The 24432-nt window shown below is 39.1% G+C and overlaps 1 annotated feature.

The window, feature by feature from the left end:
* Positions 281-481: a silencer, noted in NCBI's record as "peak4571 fragment used in MPRA reporter construct". NCBI's record gives its function as "represses an SCP1 promoter by STARR-seq MPRAs in K562 erythroleukemia cells {active_cell/tissue: K562}" and the evidence as "EXISTENCE:reporter gene assay evidence [ECO:0000049][PMID:32103011]".

Genomic DNA, 24432 nt, shown 5'->3' with positions numbered 1-24432 from the left:
GGATTTTTAATAGCTGGTTAAATGCAAAAGGAGCACACAGGCCCCAAGGCTGTTTGCAGACAGATATATTTCATAAAGTCAAACCTCTTCTAAGGGGATGGCAAAGCTTAAATTATAAAACTCAAAGTATTTGTCTGCTTTTTAGTAGTGCTATTATAGCAGACAGACCTCGGGGGTATATGAATTTATTCCAAAGGTTAGCTTAGTTGCTTACTCAGATTTAACTGATTGTAACTGCAGTATGTTTTATCATGACTACCATCCGGTAGTGAGATCTCTGAGGCCCGGCAGCAGGGCCTCCTCATCACATTACCTCTCTGCATACCCACTTGGCTAGATGGAACAGGGAATCCTAGGAGTCTGATGAAAAAGTAATGACATGGCCTGCAGGCACAAGATATAAACAAGCAATTCAAAAGAAAAAATTGGACCAACAAGACCAAGGAGAAATGTTCAACATAAATATTCACACTTGAAACTGAAAACAATAACAACAGCAATAATATGAATAATATGCCATTTTCTTCCATCAAAAATGTCATTATTTAAGGAATATAGTGTCTAAACTGAATCCTGGCATACACTGTGTATCTTATGAGAATAAATTTGAAGACATATGGCAAGAAACTTACATGTTTGCATAACCTTTGATTCCATAAGTTCACTTCCCAGAATCCAGCCTAAGGAAATAATCAGAGATGAGCACACAGACTTATTCATGAGGGTGTTTGTTTAATGTCATTGTAACAATAAAAATACAAATATGCTACATGCTCAACATGAAGAATTGCATACTTAATGATAGCTCACATAAATAGTTTTATAAGATTAACGACAGGAAACTATAAAGACAACACCTAAGCCAAAATCAAAGCCTATGAGTATTATATGCAGTAGGTTTTTACATGTTTACATCTCACAAATATACTTGTGGCTAAAAAGCCTTGGGATGGGATTTAACATTTTCCTGCTTTTCCAAAAAAAAAAAAATTTAATTCACCAGAAATTTATTGATACATGGATATTTAACTAAAGATTCATTAAAATGTGTGTGTGTTGTGAGTGGGGTAATGGGTACACACAGAAAACATGATTGTCCTCTGAAATTCTCCATTGTTCACCCTGATGTCTACCTTCTGCTCATCAAAGAACCTTTTCTCTACCTTGTTCCCTTGCACCATTACAGGCACTGAGTCTGTCCTGGCTCTTGTCCTACAAGTCCTACAATCTGTGCGGTATGATAGCTCTCACTCAGCCACTTGTGGCTGCTATGCACTTGAAATTAGGCCATCGAATAAAACAAATATGCTGCATGTTCAACATGAACTATCTCCATAAATCATAGCTCACATAAATACTTATATAAAATTAACTGCAAGAAACTGTAAAGGCAAAACAAAACCAAAATTTGGAGTTTAGAATAAAATTGGGACTGAGGAGTGAACTGGCTTCATTTTATCAGATTTTGGATATTTAGTACAAATAAAATAATATAAAATATCCTATGATTTTTATTGCAATTATAATATTGTTGATATATTGGTTTAAATAAAATATATTATTAAAATTAATGTTATCTGTTTCTTTTTACTTTTTACTATGGTTACTAGAAAATTTAAAAGTTGATATGTGGCTTGCATTATTTTTCACATGGACAGTAATAGGCTAGATTTTCCCTGTGAGTGTCTCAATTTCTCACCTCTTTTCTTATGCAAAGAAATTTAACATCATCAGGCTCACACCAGACACCACTCTCCCACCACTTTATATTGTTTTTAGGAATGCAAGAGATAGCATCAAAAGATTCTCCATTCCAAAAAAAAAATACAAAATATACAGCACTCAGTATACGTAACTAGTTCTTTTAAGTGTCATACAGATATTAACTCGATAATCTTCATGATAACCTTTGTTTTAAGTCCCTATTATCATGCCCATTTTATAGATCAGGAAGTGTTGGTAGAATAGTTTAAAAACTTGCCCATTTGTTAGGACCCACTATCTCAGAAATTGACGAGATAATTTTACATAAGAACAAATTTTCTATGGGACTTAATGTTTGCCTTTCATATTTATGAAAAACTGATAAAAAATACATCAAAATATTAAAAACATTAGTGTTATGCTTGAAATTAGAGATAATTTCTATTTCATTCTTTAAATTATTATGTATTTTAAACTTTCTCAATAGGACCATACATATTACTTTAAAATTATACATAAATCAAAAATGACTTTGAAGGGCTGGTGATGCATTCATCATAAAGGGTTTCTGAAGCTGGCACCAACATGAAACAATTGCTTGCAACCTTGTCAGGTTGCTGATACCCTGTTATATTTCTCTCATTTACAGGAGGAAAATTAGGAAGTTGAGGAATAAGAGCTCTTCTAATTATACTGACTCTTCCTCCAAAACTGTACAATCACAGCAATGTAGAAAACAATATCAACATCCAGTAACATAAATGTCAGAACCCTAATAGGCCTTAGCTTATTTAAAATAAATTCTTTTTAGTTTTGCTAGGCTTTTACATTTAAATACTTTCCTTAAGAAATACAGATTCTGATATATTGAATTTTGCTTCATTTTTCATCATTTTTCCACAATAATGACACTTAGAATTACTTTAATTCAACAAGTATTTACCATGTGCCAACTATGTGCCAGGTCTATGCTAGCTGCTGAGGTTGTACATGAGAGTAAGACATAGTCCTTGTGGGTTTTTTTTTTTTTTTCTCATTTTCTTCCATTGATGGGTCTATTCTTTTATCCTCTTGCTAGTTTCTCCCTACAGAACATCCTTCCTCCTCAAAGTGGTCCCTATCTTTTGTCTTCATTTGTTCAGTTGAACCAGCCAAAGAGGAATCATGGGACTTAAGGTTCTTTTAATGTTTTATGGTTTTTAGTAAGCTTAGAATAAAAATAAATAAATTGGAACTGAGGAGTGACATGGCTTCATATTACCCAAGGAAAATGGTGATGCATGCCTGCTAGAGTGGTGCTTCTCAAGCTGTGGTGAAGAAGAACTAGTTCTATCTCTCTATCATTCTGTCTATCCTTCTATCTATCTTTTCAATCTGTCATGGACTTTTATAAAACACAATAAAATAAAAGTGAATTACTAGATGAAATAAAGAATAAGGTTGCTCCCTCTCCCTCTCCCCACGGTCTCCCTCTCCCTCTCTTTCCACAGTCTCCCTCTCATGCCGAGCCGAAGCTGGACTGTACTGCTGCCATCTCGGCTCACTGCAACCTCCCTGCCTGATTCTCCTGCCTCAGCCTGCTGAGTGCCTGCGATTGCAGGCAAGCGCGGCCACGCCTGACTGGTTTTCATATTTTTTTGGTGGAGACGGGGTTTCGCTGTGTTGGCTGGGCTGGTCTCCAGCTCCTAACCGCGAGTGATCCGCCAGCCTCGGCCTCCCGAGGTGCCGGGATTGCAGACGGAGTCTCCTTCATCAGTGCTCAATGGTGCCCAGGCTGGAGTGCAGTGGCCTGATCTCGCTCGCTACAACCTCCACCTCCCAGCTGCCTGCCTTGGCCTCCCAAAGTGCCAAGATTGCAGCCTCTGCCCGGCTGCCACCCCATCTGGGAAGTGAGGAGCGTCTCTGCCCGGCCGCCCATCGTCTGGGATGTGAGGAGCCCCTCTGCCTGGCTGCCCAGTCTGGAAAGTGAGGAGCGTCTCTGCCCGGCCGCCATCCCATCTAGGAAGTGAGGAGCGCCTCTTCCCGGCCGCCATCACATCTAGGAAGTGAGGAGCGTCTCTGTCCGGCCACCCATCATCTGAGATGTGGGGAGAGCCTCTGCCCCACCGCCCCGTCTGGGATGTGAGGAGTGCCTCTGCCCAGCCGCGACCCCGTCTGGGAGGTGAGGAGCGTCTCTGCCCGGCCACCCCGTCTGAGAAGTGAGTAGACCCTCCACCTGGCAGCCGCCCCGTCTGAGAAGTGAGGAGCCCCTCCGCCCGGCAGCCACCCCGTCTGGGAAGTGAGGAGTGTCTCCGCCCAGCAGCCACCCCGTCCGGGAGGGAGGTGGGGGTCAGCCCCCGCCTGGCCAGCCGCCCCGTCCGGGAGGGAGGTGGGGGATCAGCCCCCCGCCCGGCCAGCCACCCCGTCCGGGAGGGAGGTGGGGGGTCAGCCCCCCGCCCGGCCAGCCACCCCGTCCGGGAGGGAGGTGGGGGGGTCAGCCCCCCGCCCGGCCAGCTGCCCCATCTGGGAGGTGGGGGGGCGCCTCTGCCCGGCCGCCCCTACTGGGAAGAGAGGAGCCCCTCTGCCCAGCCACCACCCCGTCTGGGAGGTGTTCCCAACAGCTCATTGAGAACGGGCCATGATGACAATGGCGGTTTTGTGGAATAGAAAAGGGGGAAAGGTGGGGAAAAGATTGAGAAATCGGATGGTTGCTGTGTCTGTGTAGAAAGAAGTAGACGTGGGAGACTTTTCATTTTGTTCTGTGCTAAGAAAAATTCTTCTGCCTTGGGATCCTGTTGATCTATGACCTTACCCCCAACCCTGTGCTCTCTGAAACATGTGCTGTGTCCACTCAGGGTTAAATGGATTAAGGGCGGTGCAAGATGTGCTTTGTTAAACAGATGCTTGAAGGCAGCATGCTCGTTAAGAGTCATCACCACTCCCTAATCTCAAGTACCCAGGGACACAAACACTGCAGAAGGCCGCAGAGTCCTCTGCCTAGGAAAACCAGAGACCTTTGTTCACTTGTTTATCTGCTGACCTTCCCTCCACTATTGTCCTATGACCCTGCCAAATCCCCCTCTGCCAGAAACACCCAAGAATGATCAACTAAAAAAAAAAAAAGAATAAGGTCATAAAACTGCAAACCTATTTTTATTTCATTCTTAGACTCAACATTAACAAATTGCTACAAAAGTTTCTAAAGGATTACTCCCAAAGTCTGTGCTTACCATGCTACAGACCATTAGCAAACAGATCACAAATTGGCCCTGCTCTACAGGCCAGTTTGAGCAGTGCTGTGCTATATCCCTGCATGTCTCTCTGCCTTTAAGACAGTGTATGTAGTGTGTTCTCTTTTCCAGAGCCTTTTTGCCAAATAGTGTAATATTCATTTTGAAAAGACAAGTTGCCCCATTCACAGTAAGACTCAGAATTCACTCATATTGTTAGTTTTGTTTTTCAAATAAGAAAATTTGATTCCAAAGACTGTAAAGTGCCCACCAACCCTGACATTTATCGTTTACCTATTTTACAGCATCCTCAGCCACAGGATTTCAAGGCTGGAAAGTTACTAATGTAGCCAACAAATTGTGGGTAATACACATCACATCTCTTTGGCTTCCACATGCAATTCCCTCTGAGAAAATTATTATTCACTAGGCTCTAAGGGTTTGGTGACAGAAGGTGAGTTTTTAAATAACTGATATGTTGGTATAAGTTTAGAGTATTTCATAATTGGCATTGGTATGTTTTGTAAACCTGTAAAATATTAATAATTTTTGGTCTAAGACAAAAGCATCATCAGGGTAAAGGGGAAATGAAGTTTTATTGTTGTTGTTGTTGGGAGTGGTGGTGGCAGTGTTGGTGGTGCTTTAGAGTAATCCTGAGGATAAGTGAGGGAAATTGAATCTGAGCATCTAAATTCTATTTTGTGTTTCCCTTAGCTTTATATTAAGTTGCTCTACTTTTGTATTTCTTTTCTTTTTCTCTGTCCAACAACCTCCCCACCACAACCCAGAACAAAATATGGAAAGATATAGCACATTTCTATACCTAACTATAGCACATTCTATACTAACTTTATTATATTAGCTATTAGATAAATTTAAGAGATTCTGTTTAAAATACTGCTGCTCTGTGAGAGGGCCATCTACAAACTATGTAATGGTGGCTGTGATTTCTTGATTCTTTCCTTCCAACTTCACTTCACATAAGGCTCCCCACATTATGCGACTCTTGATTTACTCCCACTGTCACAGCTGTTGTGTGAAGTGTGTTTTTAATGAAAGTTTAGATTAAGGGTGAATGATACAGAAAACAACTTACATTAATCATCATTTTTTATATCATTGGTTACTCTTCCCAAAGGGAATGCACAGGGCTTGCCCCAACTTTGGCCCTGTCTTATTGCCTTCCTCTAAGGCTTCTTTTTTCCCCTGAAGACCTAACTCCTCAATAACACAGAGGCCAACTCAAATATCCAAATTGCTATTACTCTTGTGGAATAATAAAGTTCTTTCTCAACCATCCTGCTATGCCCAGAAGGCCCCATGTTTCCTAGCCAGAAGTGTATGTCATAGGTCATCATGATGTATCCAGGTGTTTTTCATATATGCCTCCCACCCCTATGATGTGGAAGCACATCATCCATTTTGTTATTTTATGTAGTTGGCTTGCTTTCCCTATGATATGGTTTGGCTGTTTCCCCACCCAAATCTCATCTTGAATTGCAACTTCCACAGTTCCCACATGTTGTGGCAGGAACCCAGTGGTAGGTAATTGAATCATGGGGGCAGGTCTTTCCCATGCTGTTCTTATGATAATGAATAAGTCTTGTGAGATCTGACAGTTTTAAAAATTGGAGTTTCCCTGCACAAGCTCTCTCTCTCGTTTTGCCTGCCATCATCCATGTAAGATGTGACTTGCTCCTCCTTGACTTCCACCATGATTGTGAGGCCTCCCCAGCCCTGTGAAAGTGAAAGTCCATTAAATCTCTTTCTTTTGTAAACTGCCCAGTCTCAGGTATGTCTTTATTAGCAGTGTGAAAACAAACTAATACAGTAAATTGGTACCAGTAGAGTGGGGCACTGCTGGAAAGATACCTGAAAATGTGGAAGAGAACTTGGAACTGGGTAACAGGCAGGGTTGGAACAGTTTGGAGGGCTTAGAAAAAGAAAGAAAAATGTGGGAAAGTTTGGAACTCCCTAGAGACTTGTTGAATGGCTTTGACCAGAATGCTGTTAATGATATGGACAATGAAATCCAGGCTGAGGCATCTCTCAAATGGAGATGAGGAATTTGTTGGGAACTGGAGCAAAGGTGACTCTTGTTATATTTCAGCAAAGAGACTGGTGGCATTTTGCCTCTGCCCTAGAGATTTGTGGAACTTTGAATTTGAGAGAGATAATTTAGGATATCTCTGGAAGACATTTCTAAGCAACAAAGCATTGAAGAGGTGACTTAGGTGCTGTTAAAGGCATTCAGTTTTAAAAGGGAAACAGAGCATAAAAGTTTGGACAATTTGCAGCCTGACAATGTGATAGAAAAGAAAACCCCATTTTCTTTGGGGAAATTCAAGCTGGCTGCAGAAATTTGCATAAGTAATGAGGAGCCAAATGTTAATCACCAAGACAATGGGGAAAATGTCTCCAGGGCATCTCAGAGACCTTTGGGGCAAACACTCCCATCACAGGCAGAGAGGTTTAGGAGACAAAAATGGATTTGTGGGCTGGGCCAAGGTTCTCTCTGCTCTGTGCAGCCTAGGAACTTGGTGCCTGTGTCCCAGCCACTCCAGCTGTGGCTGAAAGAGGCTAATGTAGAGCTTGGGCTGTGGCTTCAGAGGGTTCAAGCCCCAAGCCTTGACAGCCTCCAAGTGGTATTGAACCTGCTAGTGCAAGAAGTCAAGAATTGGGGTTTTGGAACCTCTGCCTATATTTCAGAGGATGTATGGAAGTGCCTGGATGTCCAGGAAGAAATTTGCTGCAGGGTTGGGGCTCTCATGGAGGACCTCCACTAGGGCAATGCAGAAGGAAAATGTGGGTTGGATCCTCACACAGAGTCCCTAATGGGACACTGCCTAATAGAGCTGTGAGAAGAGGGCCACCATCCTCCAGACCCCAGAATGGTAGATCCACCAACAGCTTGCACTGTGCAGCTGGAAAAGCCGCAGACACACAATGCCAGCCAGTGAAAGCAGCCAGGAGGGGGGCTATACCCTGCAAAGTCACAGGGGTGGAGCTGCTCAAGGCCATAGTAGCCCACCTCTTGCATCACTGTGACCTGGATGTGAGACATGGAATCAAAGGAGATCATTTTGGAACTTTAAGATTTGACTGCCTCGCTAGATTTTGGACTTGCATGGGGCCTGTAGCCCCTTTGTTTTGGCCAATTTCTCCTATTTGGAATGGCTGTATTTACCCAATGCCTGTACCCACATTGTATCTAGGAAGTAACTAACTTGCTTTAACTTTACAGTCTTATAGGTGGAAGGGACTTGCCTTATTTCAGATGAGACTTTGAACTGTGAACTTTTGAGTTAATCCTGAAATGAGTTAAGACTTTGGGTGACTGTTGGGAAGGTATGATTGGTTTTGAAATGTAAAGACATGAGATTTGGAGGGGCTGGGGTGGAATGATATAGTTTGGCTGTGTCCCCACCCAAATTTCATCTTGAATTGTAACTCCCACTATTTCCACATGTCATGGGAGGAACCCAGTGTGAGGTAATTGAATCATGGGGGTGGGTATTTCCCATGCTGTTCTCATGATAATGAATAAATCTCATGAAATCTGATGGTTTCAAAAATGGGAGTTTCCCTGCACAAGTTCTCTCTCTCTTCTTCCCTGCCAGCATCCATCCACATAAGATGTGACTTGCTCCTCTTTGCCTTCCACCATGATTGTGAGGCCTCTGCAGCCATGTGGAACTGTAAGTCCATTAAACCTTTTTCTTTTGTAAATTCCCCAGTCTCAGGTATGTCTTTATTAGCAGCATGAAAATGAACTAATACACCCTGTTTGCTATTTAAATATCTGTCAATGGAAAATTATGTCCTGACAAGTTTTTCATCGCCTAACACTACCCCAAATGCTTTGAATTGTGCTAGACTTCAGGATAAATAACAGAGAATTTCGACAAAGACAATGGGTTATACCCACAGATGGGGATGCTGAAGCATGGACAGACAAAGAAGTAAATCCTAATGCAGTACAATATGTACAATAATGCAGGTATATACAAAAACACAACTAATACAAAGAAAGAAGTGATTATATATGTACCTAGGTATGGGATTCAATGAAGGCTTTACAGAAGAAGTGATGATTGTATAGGGCTTAAAAAGTCAAATCTTTCTTTAGGCAAATAGAATAAGAAAAATGTTGGCATTCCACATGAAAAAATTGCATGTGCTAAGGTACAGGGAAAGAAATCAGCGTATGTTCAGAGAGCTGTGGGAAATTGCCTTATCTGGATGTTAAAAATCTAGAGAAGCACCCAGGTAGATGAATCAGAACATGAATGATCATTAAGCCACGAGCAGCAGTCACTGTTGGCTGCGTACCCAATAGTCATTTACTTCCAACATACCTTCAATGTCTAGCTGAGAAGTTGAGTAATGGAGAAACGAAGCCAGTCTGGGAAATTCCATTTTCCTTTGCCAAATATTGATCTGTGGGTTTTGCATATGACCCAATTTTGGCCAACAGAACCTCAGAGGAAGTTTCAGACATTTTGCAACCCAAAAGACAAGGTCATGAAGATAACAGAGATATTAACTTAAAGCTTTGAAGGCATTGATCCAGCCTGAATCTATCTACTTCCATGTTGTCCTTAAGAGATATTAAAAAGACTGCATTACTTAAGTAACTTTAATAAAGTTATTTGATATTTGCAGCCACAAGCATCCTTGCTGACCATCACTTTAAAGCGCTAATTAGATGGTAGGAACAAGCTATAGTGTACTAGAGAAAAGTCATTGGGAATAATCAGGAATGGCTTTATAGAGGAGGTGTGGCTCGAGCCAAGGTAATTAAAACTAATGCCTTTGTATACTTTATAGTTTACAAAAGAATAAAATATTACATTATCTGGGAGGCAAAAGGAGCACAGATAGGAGACAGAGAGTGATCATGAATGAATAAATAAATTAGCAATTTGGAGGATCCATGTAGAGGTATGCTGGAAAGGGGGAATTTTACTTTTTCAAGCAAACTAAAGAAGTAAAGCTCATAACTGGGAGGAGGCAGAAGTAAAACTCAGTTATGTTTAACTCCATAACCTATGTTGTTGTTTTTTTAACTATACCATGCAGCCTCACAAGGTGGACTGAAGGTAATTTAGGACAAAGATATGAAGACCCATCATAAACTTATGATGATGATTTAAGTTTAGGCTGATGACTTGATTCACTGTCCTAAACTAAAAATAACCCACCACTTTCTTCTTGTTTTCTCCTGGGAAGCCATTCTTTTACCAATGTTCTGTCCTTGTAGCCAAATGCATCTTACTCATGTTCTGTCTCTGCTTAAAACCCTTCAAAGTCTTTTCATTATTTTCAGATTAAAGACAAAATAATTCAAAATGGTTTACGAAGTCTTACAACTGCAACCTTCACCTCCAACTTTTCTGCCTGCCACCCCAGCCTCCTTATAAATGTTGCCAATAGTTTTTTTTACCTCTGTTTTTATCTACCTTCAATGTTCTTTTCTCCTTTCATTTTCTTTGTTAATCTTCAGTCTTTCTAAAAACGTTCTTTACATAAGAATGAAGAATACCTTCCCCAGTAAAGCTGTGCCTGAACTCAACAAATATTCCAAAGTCTGTTATGTATTTGCATACTAGAGCTGCATAAGAAACAATAATGGAACCTCAGTGGCACATTCTACTGACCAGAGAGGAGCTTGGCTGGACACATTTATGTATCTGTGGTCAGCTGTGAGTTACCTAAGCAGTTTTGCTGATCTTCTCTGAGTTCTCTCGTGTGTCAGAGCCTTTGTTGGGACAACTGGGCTGACTCCACCTTGTTCTACATATCTCTTTTATCCAGTAGAGGTGTCCTAGGCATGTTCTCATGATGAGGGCAGAGGAACAGAAAGAGGAAACTCACAGGCCTCTTGAGGTCTAGGTTCAGAACTGTTGTGATGTCACTTCTGTCACTTTCTGTTGGCCAAAGAAAGTCACAAGGTCTGCACAGATTCAGAGTGTATAAATAAATTTACCTCTTATTAGGAAGAGCTGCAAAGATACATCCCAAAGTGCATGGATATAGGAGCTGAGAGTGAATTGAGGCTGTCCTCCAAGTCAGTCCTCCATACTTCAATAGCATCATTCATCTATCTTTATAGTCCTTGTTGAAATTTTTGCTTTATACTTTATTTTACTTTTTGATTAATTCTGTTTGCCATTCTCCCATACTACGAAGTTCCAGAAAAGCAAACACACAGAAGTTGCCCCATGATTATTTTTTGAATGAATAAGTACATAAATGAATGAGTTATTTTCTCAGCTCATGATAAGAAGGTTACCCCCAGTCCTGCCAGGACTGAGACGTAGATACCTCAAACTGTTTTTTGACAACCATTAGAGCAACTGGCAGACTAAGATGTGGTAGACAAGGGACATCACACAGATTTTCCCCAACTTTGAGGAGACTGGAAGTTATCTAGTTTTCTCTAGGACTCTATCAAATATCAAAACAGATTAAACAAACAAATGCAAAAATGAACAGAAGCTTTTCCCAGGCCCAGTGACCCTTTCTTAGGATGTTCATTAATAAATGTACTGGTTGTACTCACTGAACTGACAAAACGATCAATAAATCAAATTTTATATTATTTGATTATCCTGATTATTCCCAATGACTTTTCTCTAGTACACTATAGCCACAAGTAATGTAACCATTTGAATCATGAATATGTCCATTTTAGCTTCTAAAATAATTTTAAAATCTGTTAAATTGCATTGCCATTTTGGTTTGATAAATAACAGTCAAGGGAAATAATTGTAATTTTTAAAGTCTTTGTTAAAAACTACATTTTTTCTACATTCCTCTAAAACATTTGGCTTTGTGATTAATGAATAGGTTTTCTTTCTGAAGCTGTGGAATCATAGTAGTTTTCTCATAGAATATAAAGAACTAGGATTTTTAAAAATAGCAATAGGTTTTAGCTATTTTTTAAAATAGTGACTTTGTACCATTGTAAGAACCTTTCTTGATTTTTATCACTCATCAATTATAGGTTGTGTAAAATATGAAAGATTCTATTGAACAACATTTATGGCCTCTAGCTCTAGCCGAGCTTTCTTTGTCATAGTTTTTCATTTCCCAGATCAGTCACTATTTTTTAAGCTCAAAAATCTACTCAAAGGAAATTGTTAAATAAAAGTAACACTGCAATTAACCTAGCTTTAAAAAGTGGAAAACGCCTGAGAGACATGCAAAGTTCTTTTCAGTGCTGTGCTAGAAAGATGCTTCAGACAGGTACTTTTTTATTTTTATTTTTTACAAAACCATGGCCTTTCTGGTTTAAGAATTTATATTCTATTTTAAAGCTTATCTTTTCAGTGCTTGACTATTCGTTGTGCTATATGACAATGTGCAATCATGTTCTAGATAGAAATGAAAGTCATTTTTAGAAAACAGAGCCAATTTACCTGCCCTTTGGCTGCTTAATAACATTAGGCAGGCACTTGCTTTGCATCACAGGCTTGTAAAAGTGATTGTGTTTAAAGCCTTTTGTGAAATCCAAAATGGAATGTCAATAGCCAAAAGAACAGCCTGTTCATACATTTTTAGGAAATGGAATTCATTTGTGGGATGAGCTTCAAAACTAAATTACAAAAATAAATAAATAAATAAAAGACTGCCATTAACATAAGCACAAAAGAGGAAGTTCAAATACAGAATAATCTTATATTGAAATAAGTGCTTTTGGAGTATAGTGTTGGAACTTATAAAGACTTAAACTATGGTGCATTAAGAGAAGAATTTCCAATTCTGTCACCTTGTGACACAAATGACCTGCCACAAATGTAGCTGGTAAGATATATTTTATGTGTCTGTGTGGGAATAGGGAATGGAAGTTGGAATCTAAGAACATGGGCTCTGTAGGGGTCAACAGAGAGCTTATGTTTGGCCCTCTGAAGATTTACTGACAAGTAAAGTTGTGAAAGGCAGATTAACTGGAGAAAAGGCATACAAACTTATGTAACATGTATATATGGCAGCCTTCAGAATGAAGACCCAGACGTATAGGAGACACTCTCCGTTCTTATGCTTAGGTTCAGTGAAGTATGGAAAGCCATTTAGAAATATGATTGGACAAAAAGTGTATCATCTAATACTAATGGACTGAATAGGAAAACCCAGCAAGGCTTATCTGTCTAGATTCTTCTTGGCCTCTCTTTGTGGCATTCCTTCCTTCTGAGTGTGGAGCAGCACCCTCTCTGGAATGAGGGTCGTATGAGCTGTAGTCAAACAAAGTAGGTCAAATATTTTCTTTATAGACAGTTTTTACACAAATAGGGCAGAGAAAAAGAGTAATATTTTAAGATTTTATGACTGGCTTTGGGGAAAAGGAAATCTGGTTCTATGACTCACCTTGGGGAAGATGGCTTCCAGTTTCTATGACTCTTAAATGTATGCAGCTTAAATTTAAGCAAATTATTTTACATCTAGAAATCTCAAACTACTCATATGCAATTGAATGATAATTATAGATTTTATTTCACAAGTTTGTTGAGACAATGAAGTAATCTGATGTTTGGCATAGTGATTGACACACAGTGAGAACTCATAAGTGTTTGTTAGGTAACTAGTTGTATAAACTTGAACAATAATAATAATACATCAGTGCCTTTTAAGTACTGAGCACTATGCTACAAACTCTAGGTAGAATTTTAGATATTTGTCAACCTTAGCAAGTGAATATTGTCTCTAGTCCAGAAATTAAAAACTATGATACATTGAGAGGTGTAAAGCAATTTTCCAAAGGATACAGAAAGCCATGATTCAAGCCCACCTATGTGCAATTCACAATAACCAGTTGCCTCAGTTTGCCATGTTGCACCAAAATCACTCAGCACTTCTTGTGCCTCATAATTTATTTCAACAGTTTTGCTGGGTAAGATGAAATAAACATATGTCAGTCTAAAGCTGCTAAAGAAATAGTCCCAGTCTTAAACATCTTATTGTCTCCTTTCCAGATTACACAAACCAAAAAAAAAAAAAAAAATCAGTATGATCAAAGTAGAAGTATTGATCTCACTACCCGTCATTTGTTACCATAGAAATAATTTAAATGACTAGCAGACATAGGTCCTAGCTTATGATAGCTTCTGTCAAGGTCTCACTCAACAAGCATCCCATCATTCTTGATAATACTGTAGTTGTCAATGCTCTAGTCCCCAGCTTTGAGAAAGTAGCCAAGAAATAAAACCTAGTAGGATTCTTATCCTGCAGTCTCTGTGATTCTTTGCATCTAACTCATCAATTTAAATGGGAGAAAAATGTATCCAAATTTTTAATAACCTATATTCAATATATAGCATGTCCTGTAATTATAAATATTGGCAAAAATAATAACATTGGAGTAAAAGAGTATCTTTGTCTTTGTCATCAATTAAAGTCACAAATGTTTCCTATTACTTTACAATCATTGTAGGTATCTCAAAATATTACATTGCTGACTTCAAAATTATATTTTCATACCCACTGCTAAATCTTATTTAATGTGCTAATAAAGAAGTATATATGTTAGTATATGACAAGCTGTTAAAATATTTTTATAACTGTATTTAAATAGAATTGATTTTCTTTTATAATACTATACATTTTATTATATGCACTTACTTTTATTTTTAAAAGGAAATTTCAGACCGCAAATGACAATGATAACATTGAAGGAAGAATGAGAGAGAGAGGGAAAGAAAGAGGAAGGAAGGAAGGAAGGAAGGGAATAAGGGAGGGAGGGAGGAAGGGAAGAACTCCTGAATCAAAGGTCAAAGCACTGACTCTGGGGTGACAATGACTCTGGGGTGACAATGTCTCTGGGGTGACAATGACTCTGGGGTGACAATGTCTCTGGGGTGACGATGACTCTGGGGTGACATTGACTCTGAGGTGACAATGACTCTGGAGTGACAATGACTCTGAGGTGACAATGACTCTGGGGTGACAATGGGGTGACAATGACTCTGGGGTGACAATGACTCTGGGGTGACAATGACTCTGAGCTGACAATGACTCGGGTGACAATGACTCTGGGGTGACAATGAATGACTCTGGGGTGACAATGACTCTGGGGTGACAATGACTGACTCTGGGGTGACAATGACTCTGGGGTGACAATGACTCTGGGGTGACAATGAACAACTCTGGGGTGACAATGACTCTGGGGTGACAATGACTGACTCTGGGGTGACAATGACTCCTCTGGGGTGACAGTGACTCTGGGGTGACAATGACTCTGGGGTGACAATGACTCTGAGGTGACAAAGACTCTGGGGTGACAATGACTCTGGGGTGACAATGACTCTGGGGTGACAATGACTGACTCTGGGGTGACAATGACTCTGGGGTGACAATGACTCTGGGGTGACAATGACTGAGGTGACAGTGACTCTGGGGTGACAGTGACTCTGGGGTGACAATGTCTCTGGGATGACAATGACTCTGGGGTGACAATGTCTCTGGGGTGACAATGACTCTGGGGTGACCATGTCTCTGGGGTGACAGTGACTCTGGGGTGACAGTGACTCTGGGGTGACAGTGTCTCTGGGGTGACAGTGACTCTGGGGTGACAGTGACTCTGGGGTGACAGTGTCTCTGGGGTGACAATGACTCTGGGGTGACAATGTCTCTGGGGTGACAATGTCTCTGGGGTGACAATGACTCTGGGGTGACAATGACTTGGGTGACAGTGACTCTGGGGTGACAGTGACTCTGGGGTGACAGTGACTCTGGGGTGACAATGACTCTGGGGTGACAGTGTCTCTGGGGTGACAATGACTCTGGCGTGACAATGTCTCTGGGGTGACAATGTCTGTGGGGTGACAATGTCTGTGGGGTGACAATGACTCTGGGGTGACAATGTCTCTGGGGTGACAATGACTCTGGGGTGACAATGACTGGGGTGACAGTGAGTCTGGGGTGACAATGACTCTGGGGTGACAATGACTGGGGTGACAGTGAGTTTGGGGTGACAGTGTCTCTGGGGTGACAATGTCTGGGGTGACAATGACTCTGGGGTGACAGTGAGTCTGGGGTGACAGTGTCTCTGGGGTGACAATGTCTCTGGGGTGACAATGACTCTGGGGTGACAATGACTCTGGGGTGACAGTGTCTCTGGGGTGACAATGACTCTGGGGTGACAATGTCTCTGGGGTGACAATGACTCTGGGGTGACAATGACTCTGGGGTGACAATGACTGAGGTGACAATGACTCTGGGGTGACAATGACTCTGGGGTGACAATGACTCTGAGGTGACAATGACTCTGGGGTGACAATGACTCTGGGGTGACAGTGACTCTGGGGTGACAGTGAGTCTGGGGTGACAGTCTGGGGTGACAGTGTCTCTGGGGTGACAGTGACTCTGGGGTGACAGTGTCTCTGGGGTGACAATGACTCTGGGGTGACAGTGTCTCTGGGGTGACAATGACTCTGGGGTGACAATGACTCTGGGGTGACAGTGACTCTGGGGTGACAATGAACTTCTTAGCACCAGACCCTGGTAGCTCCAAACAATGAAAAGTGAGTCCCTCAAAAAAGTCCCTAATAATTTATGTATTGCTTATATTTTATTGATTTATTGATATTTATTCACTTGTCATAATCATTAGCTATCTTGAAGAGTTGGAGCTGTCGGGTATGGGTTTGAATTGAGGCAGAAAATAATAGCATTACCTGTAGCCATTACAACATTAGATGTTAATTCCAGAATTTCAGAAACTAGAGGTGAGATTAAGAAAGAGTTCTTGAAGATAAAGCGGTCATATTATTTGTGTTTTACTAAAGAACATCATGCATGATGCTTTGGCTTCAAAACAAAGCCATTTTTCTTGAGAAAGCTCTGAACTTTGAATGGTCTTCGCATTGTTTTCTTTTTGTTCTTACCACAGCATAGAGCAGGGTCAAAGTGCCACTGTAGAATTTTAAATCATGACAAGAAAAACAGTATTGAACTGTAAATATTTACAACTCTCTCACTCTTTCATTTGTATAAAGAAAAAGGATCCTTTGTGGCACCAAACTTGGTGCTATTCTTTGTAATGCTGAAAAACTAAAGAAGAGTCATAGAGTTTGGGAGGGGGCAGTAGGGAAGGAGAAAAAGAGAAAAGGCCTCAGAACTGAAAATGTTGTCAGGAGAAGAGCATATGAGAAAGGGGAAAGAAACTGGAACTATGATTGGGCTATGCGGGGCTTGGGAAAGAGATGGATGAAAACAAGTTTTTGAGGAAGTTCTATTATCCGTAGACAAATGTAATCCCCTTTGATCATCTCCTCAAGAAAGTCTGAGGTCAGCACTGCATTTCTTTTCAAGGCATTTTCACAAGATCTAGGTAGGTCTAGGGCAGGAGCAGGAACTAGTTTTATTCAAGTTACTTAAAGATCTCTGCCAACCTTCTGTGTGAGTACATGTGTGTGAATTCCAAGCATCTGGAAAAGATTTTTGTGGACTCCATCTATCATCTCACCAAATGTTCTTTACATCTCAAATCTCAAATTTCTCTCTCAGGCCTCTTCTATTTGGCACCTTCAACCACTTTCTTAACAGCTCTATCTTGATGTCTTATTGATATGCAAACTGTAATTGTGCATAATATTGAACTGTCCTTTTCCTAAAGCTAGTTTCTCTTTCAAAATTACTGACTAACTGTACAGATTATCAGTTATACCACTATTTTTCTGGATCACTCAAGATGAGCATCTCAGGATCTTCTTTTGTTCTCTTCATGTCCTCACTTCCATTCTAATTCATTATTAAACAACCATTCATTATTAGTCATTGAGTACAGATGTGTTGAGTATTGATTGAGGTATTGAAATACAGTGGTGAACAGGATGTATAGGCTCCTAGTTCAAAGTTGACCAAAACATGGGATGGTTTTCTTTTAGAATATATCTCACCTACCTCTTTTCATCCTTAGTACCAAAATCATAATATAAATCATCATTTATCTATCCCTGAATGATTACTATTATTTACCACCTGAACTCTGGAGCCAGGCTTACTCCCTGTCATCAATCTTCTAAGCTTCCACAGTTTCATTACCAAGTTTTAGTCTTCCTATTCTTTGCTCAAAAGCACTGCATGATACCCTGTCATCTACAGTATAGAATCCAGTTATCTCATCTAGCATTCAGATACCTCAAAGTCCAGTCTTGACGTTACTGATTAACTTCATCTCTTCCATGTATACATTGACATACACTCTTCTATTCATCACACTCTTAATGTACCTTATATTATTTTTCTCACACACTTATTCCTCAGGCATAGATTTTTTTTTCTCCTCCACATTTACCTGAATGCAAAACTTACGTTATTGTATGAAAACCATTGTACAACCCATATTTGTAAAATACCTTACAACTCTTTTAACTCATTCACATTCTTTATCTCATTTACTATCTCTTTTGATACTCATAGGGCTATAGTAGGAAGGACTGATTTTAGTTTGGCCAGTTTACAGATGAGAAAACTGAGTCAAAATAACATTATGAGTGAGAGGAGAGGTTAAAAAACTTAACTAGAAATTTTGAGCCTTACTTTTTTTCAGCTTTTTCCAGTATGCCATGTATTTAACCAGCTAAAAGTTTCACTGAGAAGGCTGAAAATTCCAGCAACTTAACAAATAGCAAATGAATCTTCCTAATGGAAACTTGTAGCACTTTTCCCCTTGGGTAGATAACTTGCTCGATAAGGATTCTATGTGACACAAGTGCTCTGTTGTGGGATTCACTGATCTTCTGGAAAAGCATACAACCCTTTAGCCTTCATTTCATCTTCAGCTCCTTGCCTAAGTGAAAACTATTTTTGATTTAACACCCTCAGATTCCTTTTAATTCTTACATTGATGTGGACAATGTTAAACTAGACTTGCCGAACTCAGGTTATGTATTGGGAATCAAAGTGAGCCCTTAGGACTCCTCAGAACAGCTGGTGTCAACTGGAATATGATGAAATCCTCTAAGAACTGAATGGGCTATTAAAACATTGCAGCTAGGCTACAGCAGCAGGGAAAACAGAAAAATTTTCTTGAGAAGAAAAAGAAGAGAAATTGCTTTGGGTATACAACCAGAAAATGGTGCTTGCCTTATGTAACTCTTCTGGATGAAATGTGTCTTTATATAGTCAGTGAAAAAATTGCTTTAGCTCAGCTTTTTAAAAGCCAATTTTGCAATTCTTATACTAACATGTATATTTTTACATTTTATGTATATAATGGGAATGGCTACTTTTTTGGTCAAATGTGCAGAGAGAATGAATATTTCCTAATTGCAATTTTGTAGAAAACTCATTTGTTTTGAATATATATCTTTCTGGTCTGACTAAATGAGAATCATCATTTATTTTTCACATGTTAACATTAGACAATTTTGTATTTTTTACCGTAAAATATCTCAATAGCATAGGGCATGGGAGGGCGGAGAAAAATAAATGACATTTACTGAATTCCTGCTATGTGCCCAGATCTTTACCCATATCTTGTTTCATTTGGCAGCAAACTTAAAAGAAGGTCTTTCAGTCCATTTTAGAAATGATAAATCACAGGTTCAGAGAGAGATTAGGTAAAATATCCAAGAGCTTTCAACTAGGAAGTGATGGAAGTAAAGTTCAAACTGGCTGTGATTCACTGAAAACCAGTGCCTCATCCATTTAGCACTGCATTTGGCAAATACAATGTGATCAGCAAATTGTAATCAAACAGAAATTTCTGTGAAAATAATTTTTTTCTTTTCTGCAAAGAAATAATAGAAGGGAAAGTAATCTGGAAGGAAGTACGTAGCTTTGTAAGAAAGCTGTTCCAAGTTTGGAAAGTTGCATTTTCTGAAAGATGCAAAACTTATATTCTTTCTGCTTTCATTAGGAAACACTTCACAGTGAAAGAAACAAAATTACACTTACTAAACTTCAAAGATTATGTTTACTTTTTCAATCAACAGAGACATTGAAAGTAAATTGGAAATAGGACATAGAAATGAGTGGAAGCTTTGCATTGTCTTTCAAAGGAAAAGAGATTGCCCTCCTTGGAATGGAGAAGAATGATATCAGTAAAAACTCACACCATTCTCCTCAGCCTGTTTTAATGCTGGCATCTAGCAGTCAATCATTATGCCAGAAAAACTAGCACTGTGGACAAACTGGCTTGTTCCTTTGAAAGAAACCTGTGGCAGCTTAGCTAGTTGTGACTTGGCAGCTTTAGTTTCTTCTTGTGCACTTCTAACCTTAACAGCATCAATTGAAGATGTATTTATTGTTTATGTCAAAACAGCCGCTTGTTATATTTTATATTTTACCATGAAACACGGAGAAAAGGTCTATAGTAGCATTATACCTGATTGAAATATTTTGTTTAAGCTGGCATTAAGTGAAAATTGTTCGCTATTTAAGACAGTGATTAAAATGATAGACTCTGGAGTCAGACTCATGAGGGTCAAATCCCAGCTCTGTCATTTGTTAATTGTGTGAGTTAGAGAAAATTACAAAACCTTTTTATGGCTCACCTTCCTCATTTATAAAATGGGACTAGTAATAATATTATCAATGTGGCTCACATCGAATTATTAGAAGAATTGTATATTGTACTGCTTTTAAAGCATTTAACAGTGCTTGTCAAATAATAAGCACCAATGAATATTAACTTGTTGCCATAGTTTGGATGTTTGTCCTGCAAACTTCATGTTGAAATTTGATCCCCAATGTAGCAGGTGAGACCTAATGGGAAATGTTTCGGTCATGGAGGTGGATCTGTCATGAGTGACTTGGTGCAGTCCTCGTGGTAATGACGGAGTTCTCATTCTATTCGTTCCCATGACAGCTGGTTGTTAAAATGAGCCTGGCACCTCCTCCCTCTCTCTTTTGCTTTCTCTCTTATCATGTGATCTCTACACAGACCAGATTCCCTTCACCTTCCGCCATGAGTGGAAGCAGCCTGAACCCCTCACCAGAGGCAGATGCTGATGCCATGCTTCTTGTAGAATCTGCAGAACCCTGAGCCAAATAAATCTTTTTTCTTTATAAATTACCCAGCCTGTGATATTCTTCTATAGGAACACAAATAGACTAAGACTCATTACTATTATCATTTGCAACCAATTATCCATTAAAATACTCAGGAGGAACTTACGAAAAGAGAAATACAGGAACCTACTTTGAAAGTCAATTATTGTCTCTGTGGGAAGGCCAGACTGTTGTCCTTTCTGTGTCCTATCTCAGTAACTCTGTTGTGTGTATGTTACTCAACTTAATTCATCTCCGCTAAAATTGTTTCACGAGAGTTTGGAAGGATATTCACCAATTTCATTTCAGATGAAATTAAATTGAGTAGCACAAGTGATGACATACTGTAAGTGAACTAAGGACTCTGCATATTAATATAGCCTCCAACCTCTGCATCAGAGAAAGGGCAATAAACTTACTCAAGGGCAACTAATCTCCAGATGAGAATTAATTTTCAAATATTTTTAAAATGAGGGGAAAGTGCCACAACAACCTTATTCCAAAGAGATACAAATTACAAAGTAGTTAGTCAGAAAATTCAGAAAAAATAACTGCACTGGTCAGCTCAGGCTGCAATAACAAAATACCATCTACTGGATAACTTAAACAACAGAAATATATTTTCTCATAGTTTCTTGGTCTGGCAAATCCAAGGGTCAGTTTCTGTTGAGGGCTCTTCTGGATTGCAGATAGTCGACTTCTTGTGTCCCCATATGGCAGAGAAAGAGAGCTCTGATGTCTCTTCCTCTTTTTATAAGGGTCTTTTTATGTGGATTAGGACCCCACTCTTGTGACCTCATTTCATCAAAATTATCTCCTAACGGCCCTATCTCCAAATACTAAGTCAAATTGTGGGTTAAGCCTTCAATATATGAATTTGTGGACTGGACACAATTCAGTCCATTGCAAGGACATAAATCTGAAAAAGTTATGATTATGAAAATAAGAAAAAAGAGTTACTTGTTTAGAAATCAGAAATGTATGCACCTGAAAGGAGTAGAAGATGTAGGCTTTATAAAACTGGAGCAGGTGGCCGGAAGCAGCAGACTAGCAGAGATGAACAAAGGGTATCAGGAAATGGAAAATGAAGTGGCAATCTGAAATCTTAAACCCAGAGACTTCTAATTACCTTACTAAATTACTCAGGTAGAACAGTTATTCGTGAAGCCTTCAATCTAACAAAGAGGTTACTATGATTAATGCATTTTCCTTAACATCTAGTGTTTGGTTTAACTGCTGATTTTCTTACACAAAGAAATAATTTCAGAAATAGTTTTCAAAATGCAATATTTGGTGTGAGGAGGGATGTGGAGAGAAATAGAGATAAGGAGAGAAGAATAGACAAGTAGATAAATGAAAAAGCATAAAGAAGGGAGTTAATAAAGTATGGCAAGTCAGGGACAAGTCAAGATGGCACAAAGGAAGTGGTATGAAGAAACTGGTTCATGAAAGCATAGAGATGCAGTAAATAATAGAAAAAAGGGAACACCAAAAGGCTATCTCATGAACAGCACATGTAGCATTATTAAATATTAAAAGAAGATCTAAATAAGGACAGAGTCAGAAGAACAATGAAAATGCCAAAACCATAAACAGGTTCAGATAATTGTTTCATGGTATTTTAATAAAATCTTGCTGTGTTTTATTCTGTAAGTTATTTTAAGGATGGCCTCTGTCTTGCATTGCCTTTATTCCCACTACGTCTTGTGAACAAATTGTTTCCACAAACATCTGTGGATGGTTGAATTAAATAAATATTGTGCCCTTACTACCTACCAGATAGAATTGTCCCTGGGTATCCACGAAGGATTGGTTTCAGGACCCCCTGCAGAAAACAAAATTTGCAGATGCTCAAGTCCCTGATATAAAGTGGTATAGTATTCGCATACAGCCTATGCACATCCTCCAATACGCTTTATCTCTAGATTACTTATAATGCCTAATACAATAAAAGTGCTATGTCAATAATTGTTGTATTGTTTAAGGAATAATAAAAAGAAGAAAACGAGTCTGTACATGTTCTGTTCGGACACAATCATCCTTTTGTTTCCAAATATTTTCAATCTATGTTTGGGTGAATCCATGGATGCAGAACCCACAGATACAGAGGCCCTGTTGTACAGTACTACTTGCTGAGAATATAAAGATAAATGTGCTTTGCCTTCTGATCTCAAAGAATTATCAGCCTAGTTGAAAAGAAATAAATTATAGACATCCAATAATTGATCTTAAAGTAAAAGTAAAAATCATCCAAAAGTATGGAGAGTATTGGAGAATGAAAGTTTTGTAGTAAAAAAATGATTCTTTAAGTAAAAATTAAAATTTTAATATCCATTTAAATTTGTTAACCTGAGAGATCCTTCTCCATACTGGTGTCAATCTTAAACTTATGACTTGAAGAGCTAAGATCTTCAGATTTCAGGATCAACTGATTTTTTTTTCCTCTAAGTATTGCGTTACTTAAATTCCTTCCTCATATTTATGAACTTTATGAATCACATAATTCAACAATAAAGACTAGGAAGAAGAATTGATATTTCCAAAGTCCCAAAGCTGGTGTGGAACACGGCCAGATTAACAACTATACCAGCACTATGGGTTCTCCAATCTGGAAGTTTGGAGAGAAAAGCACTGTAGCTCATTCTTTATCATTTGTTTTATTGGACTATTATGTTATTTCTTCTGTTTTAAGATGAAACTCAGAGGAAGCTCAATTACAGAATCCCATAACATTATTTGTATATACAATTCCAGCCCTGCCCTACATTTAATTTTATCTCTGAAAGGACTAATCTAAGCTCTACAAGTCTGTTTTAGGGCTGGAATAAGACCTGAAAGCAAAAGACAGAAAGTGAGATTATCCAGTTTAAGCAATAATAAAGCTACTTTTTAAAGAACTGTTTTCTACCAAGTTTTATTATATAAGTTCTGCCCAAAAGTGTGCAGAAAAAAAAAAAGGAACTAGCTGACAGTGTCCTATGACAGCACAGTTTATATCTCTTCTTCAGAATTTTAACTGAAGCTTTTCAACAGTCCTGGCTAAATCACCAGATGGGTTTGAAAGAATGTCATTACCAAGTCCTTATGTGAGTTGGCAAATAGAAGCAAACAAAAGCTTTGTGCTTTATTCGGACCAACCCATGCTGAGGAGTCCAAAGTCTGAATTTTTTTTGAAATATTTTTGTCTACGAAATATTTCTTGATTGAACGTTGTAACTCTCTTCCCCACCCTTGTCTCTCTTTAAGGAAGAAACACAAGATATTTAAGCTTAGACCTCATAAGAATAAGACTTTTCAAATGAGCACAAATTTCTAAAGGCGCTTCGTAAAACAGAGGCCGAATCAAAGAGAATGGCAAATAACAGTATTTTGATGACGACTGAAACCTCTGGGTATTTAAACTACGCATAAATAGACTGTGTGTTTGTATGTATATATATAGATACATATTTTTTCCTTTTGTATACTCTTTTCTCTCATATGATACTTGTGACATAAAACAGATGGTGGTTCTGTCCTCAGA

This window comes from Homo sapiens, chromosome 3, assembly GCF_000001405.40.
Source record: "Homo sapiens chromosome 3, GRCh38.p14 Primary Assembly".
NCBI classification, from domain to species: Eukaryota; Metazoa; Chordata; class Mammalia; order Primates; family Hominidae; genus Homo; species Homo sapiens.
Note: the sequence above shows the minus strand (reverse complement) of the source record. Positions and strands in the feature narration are given on the sequence as shown.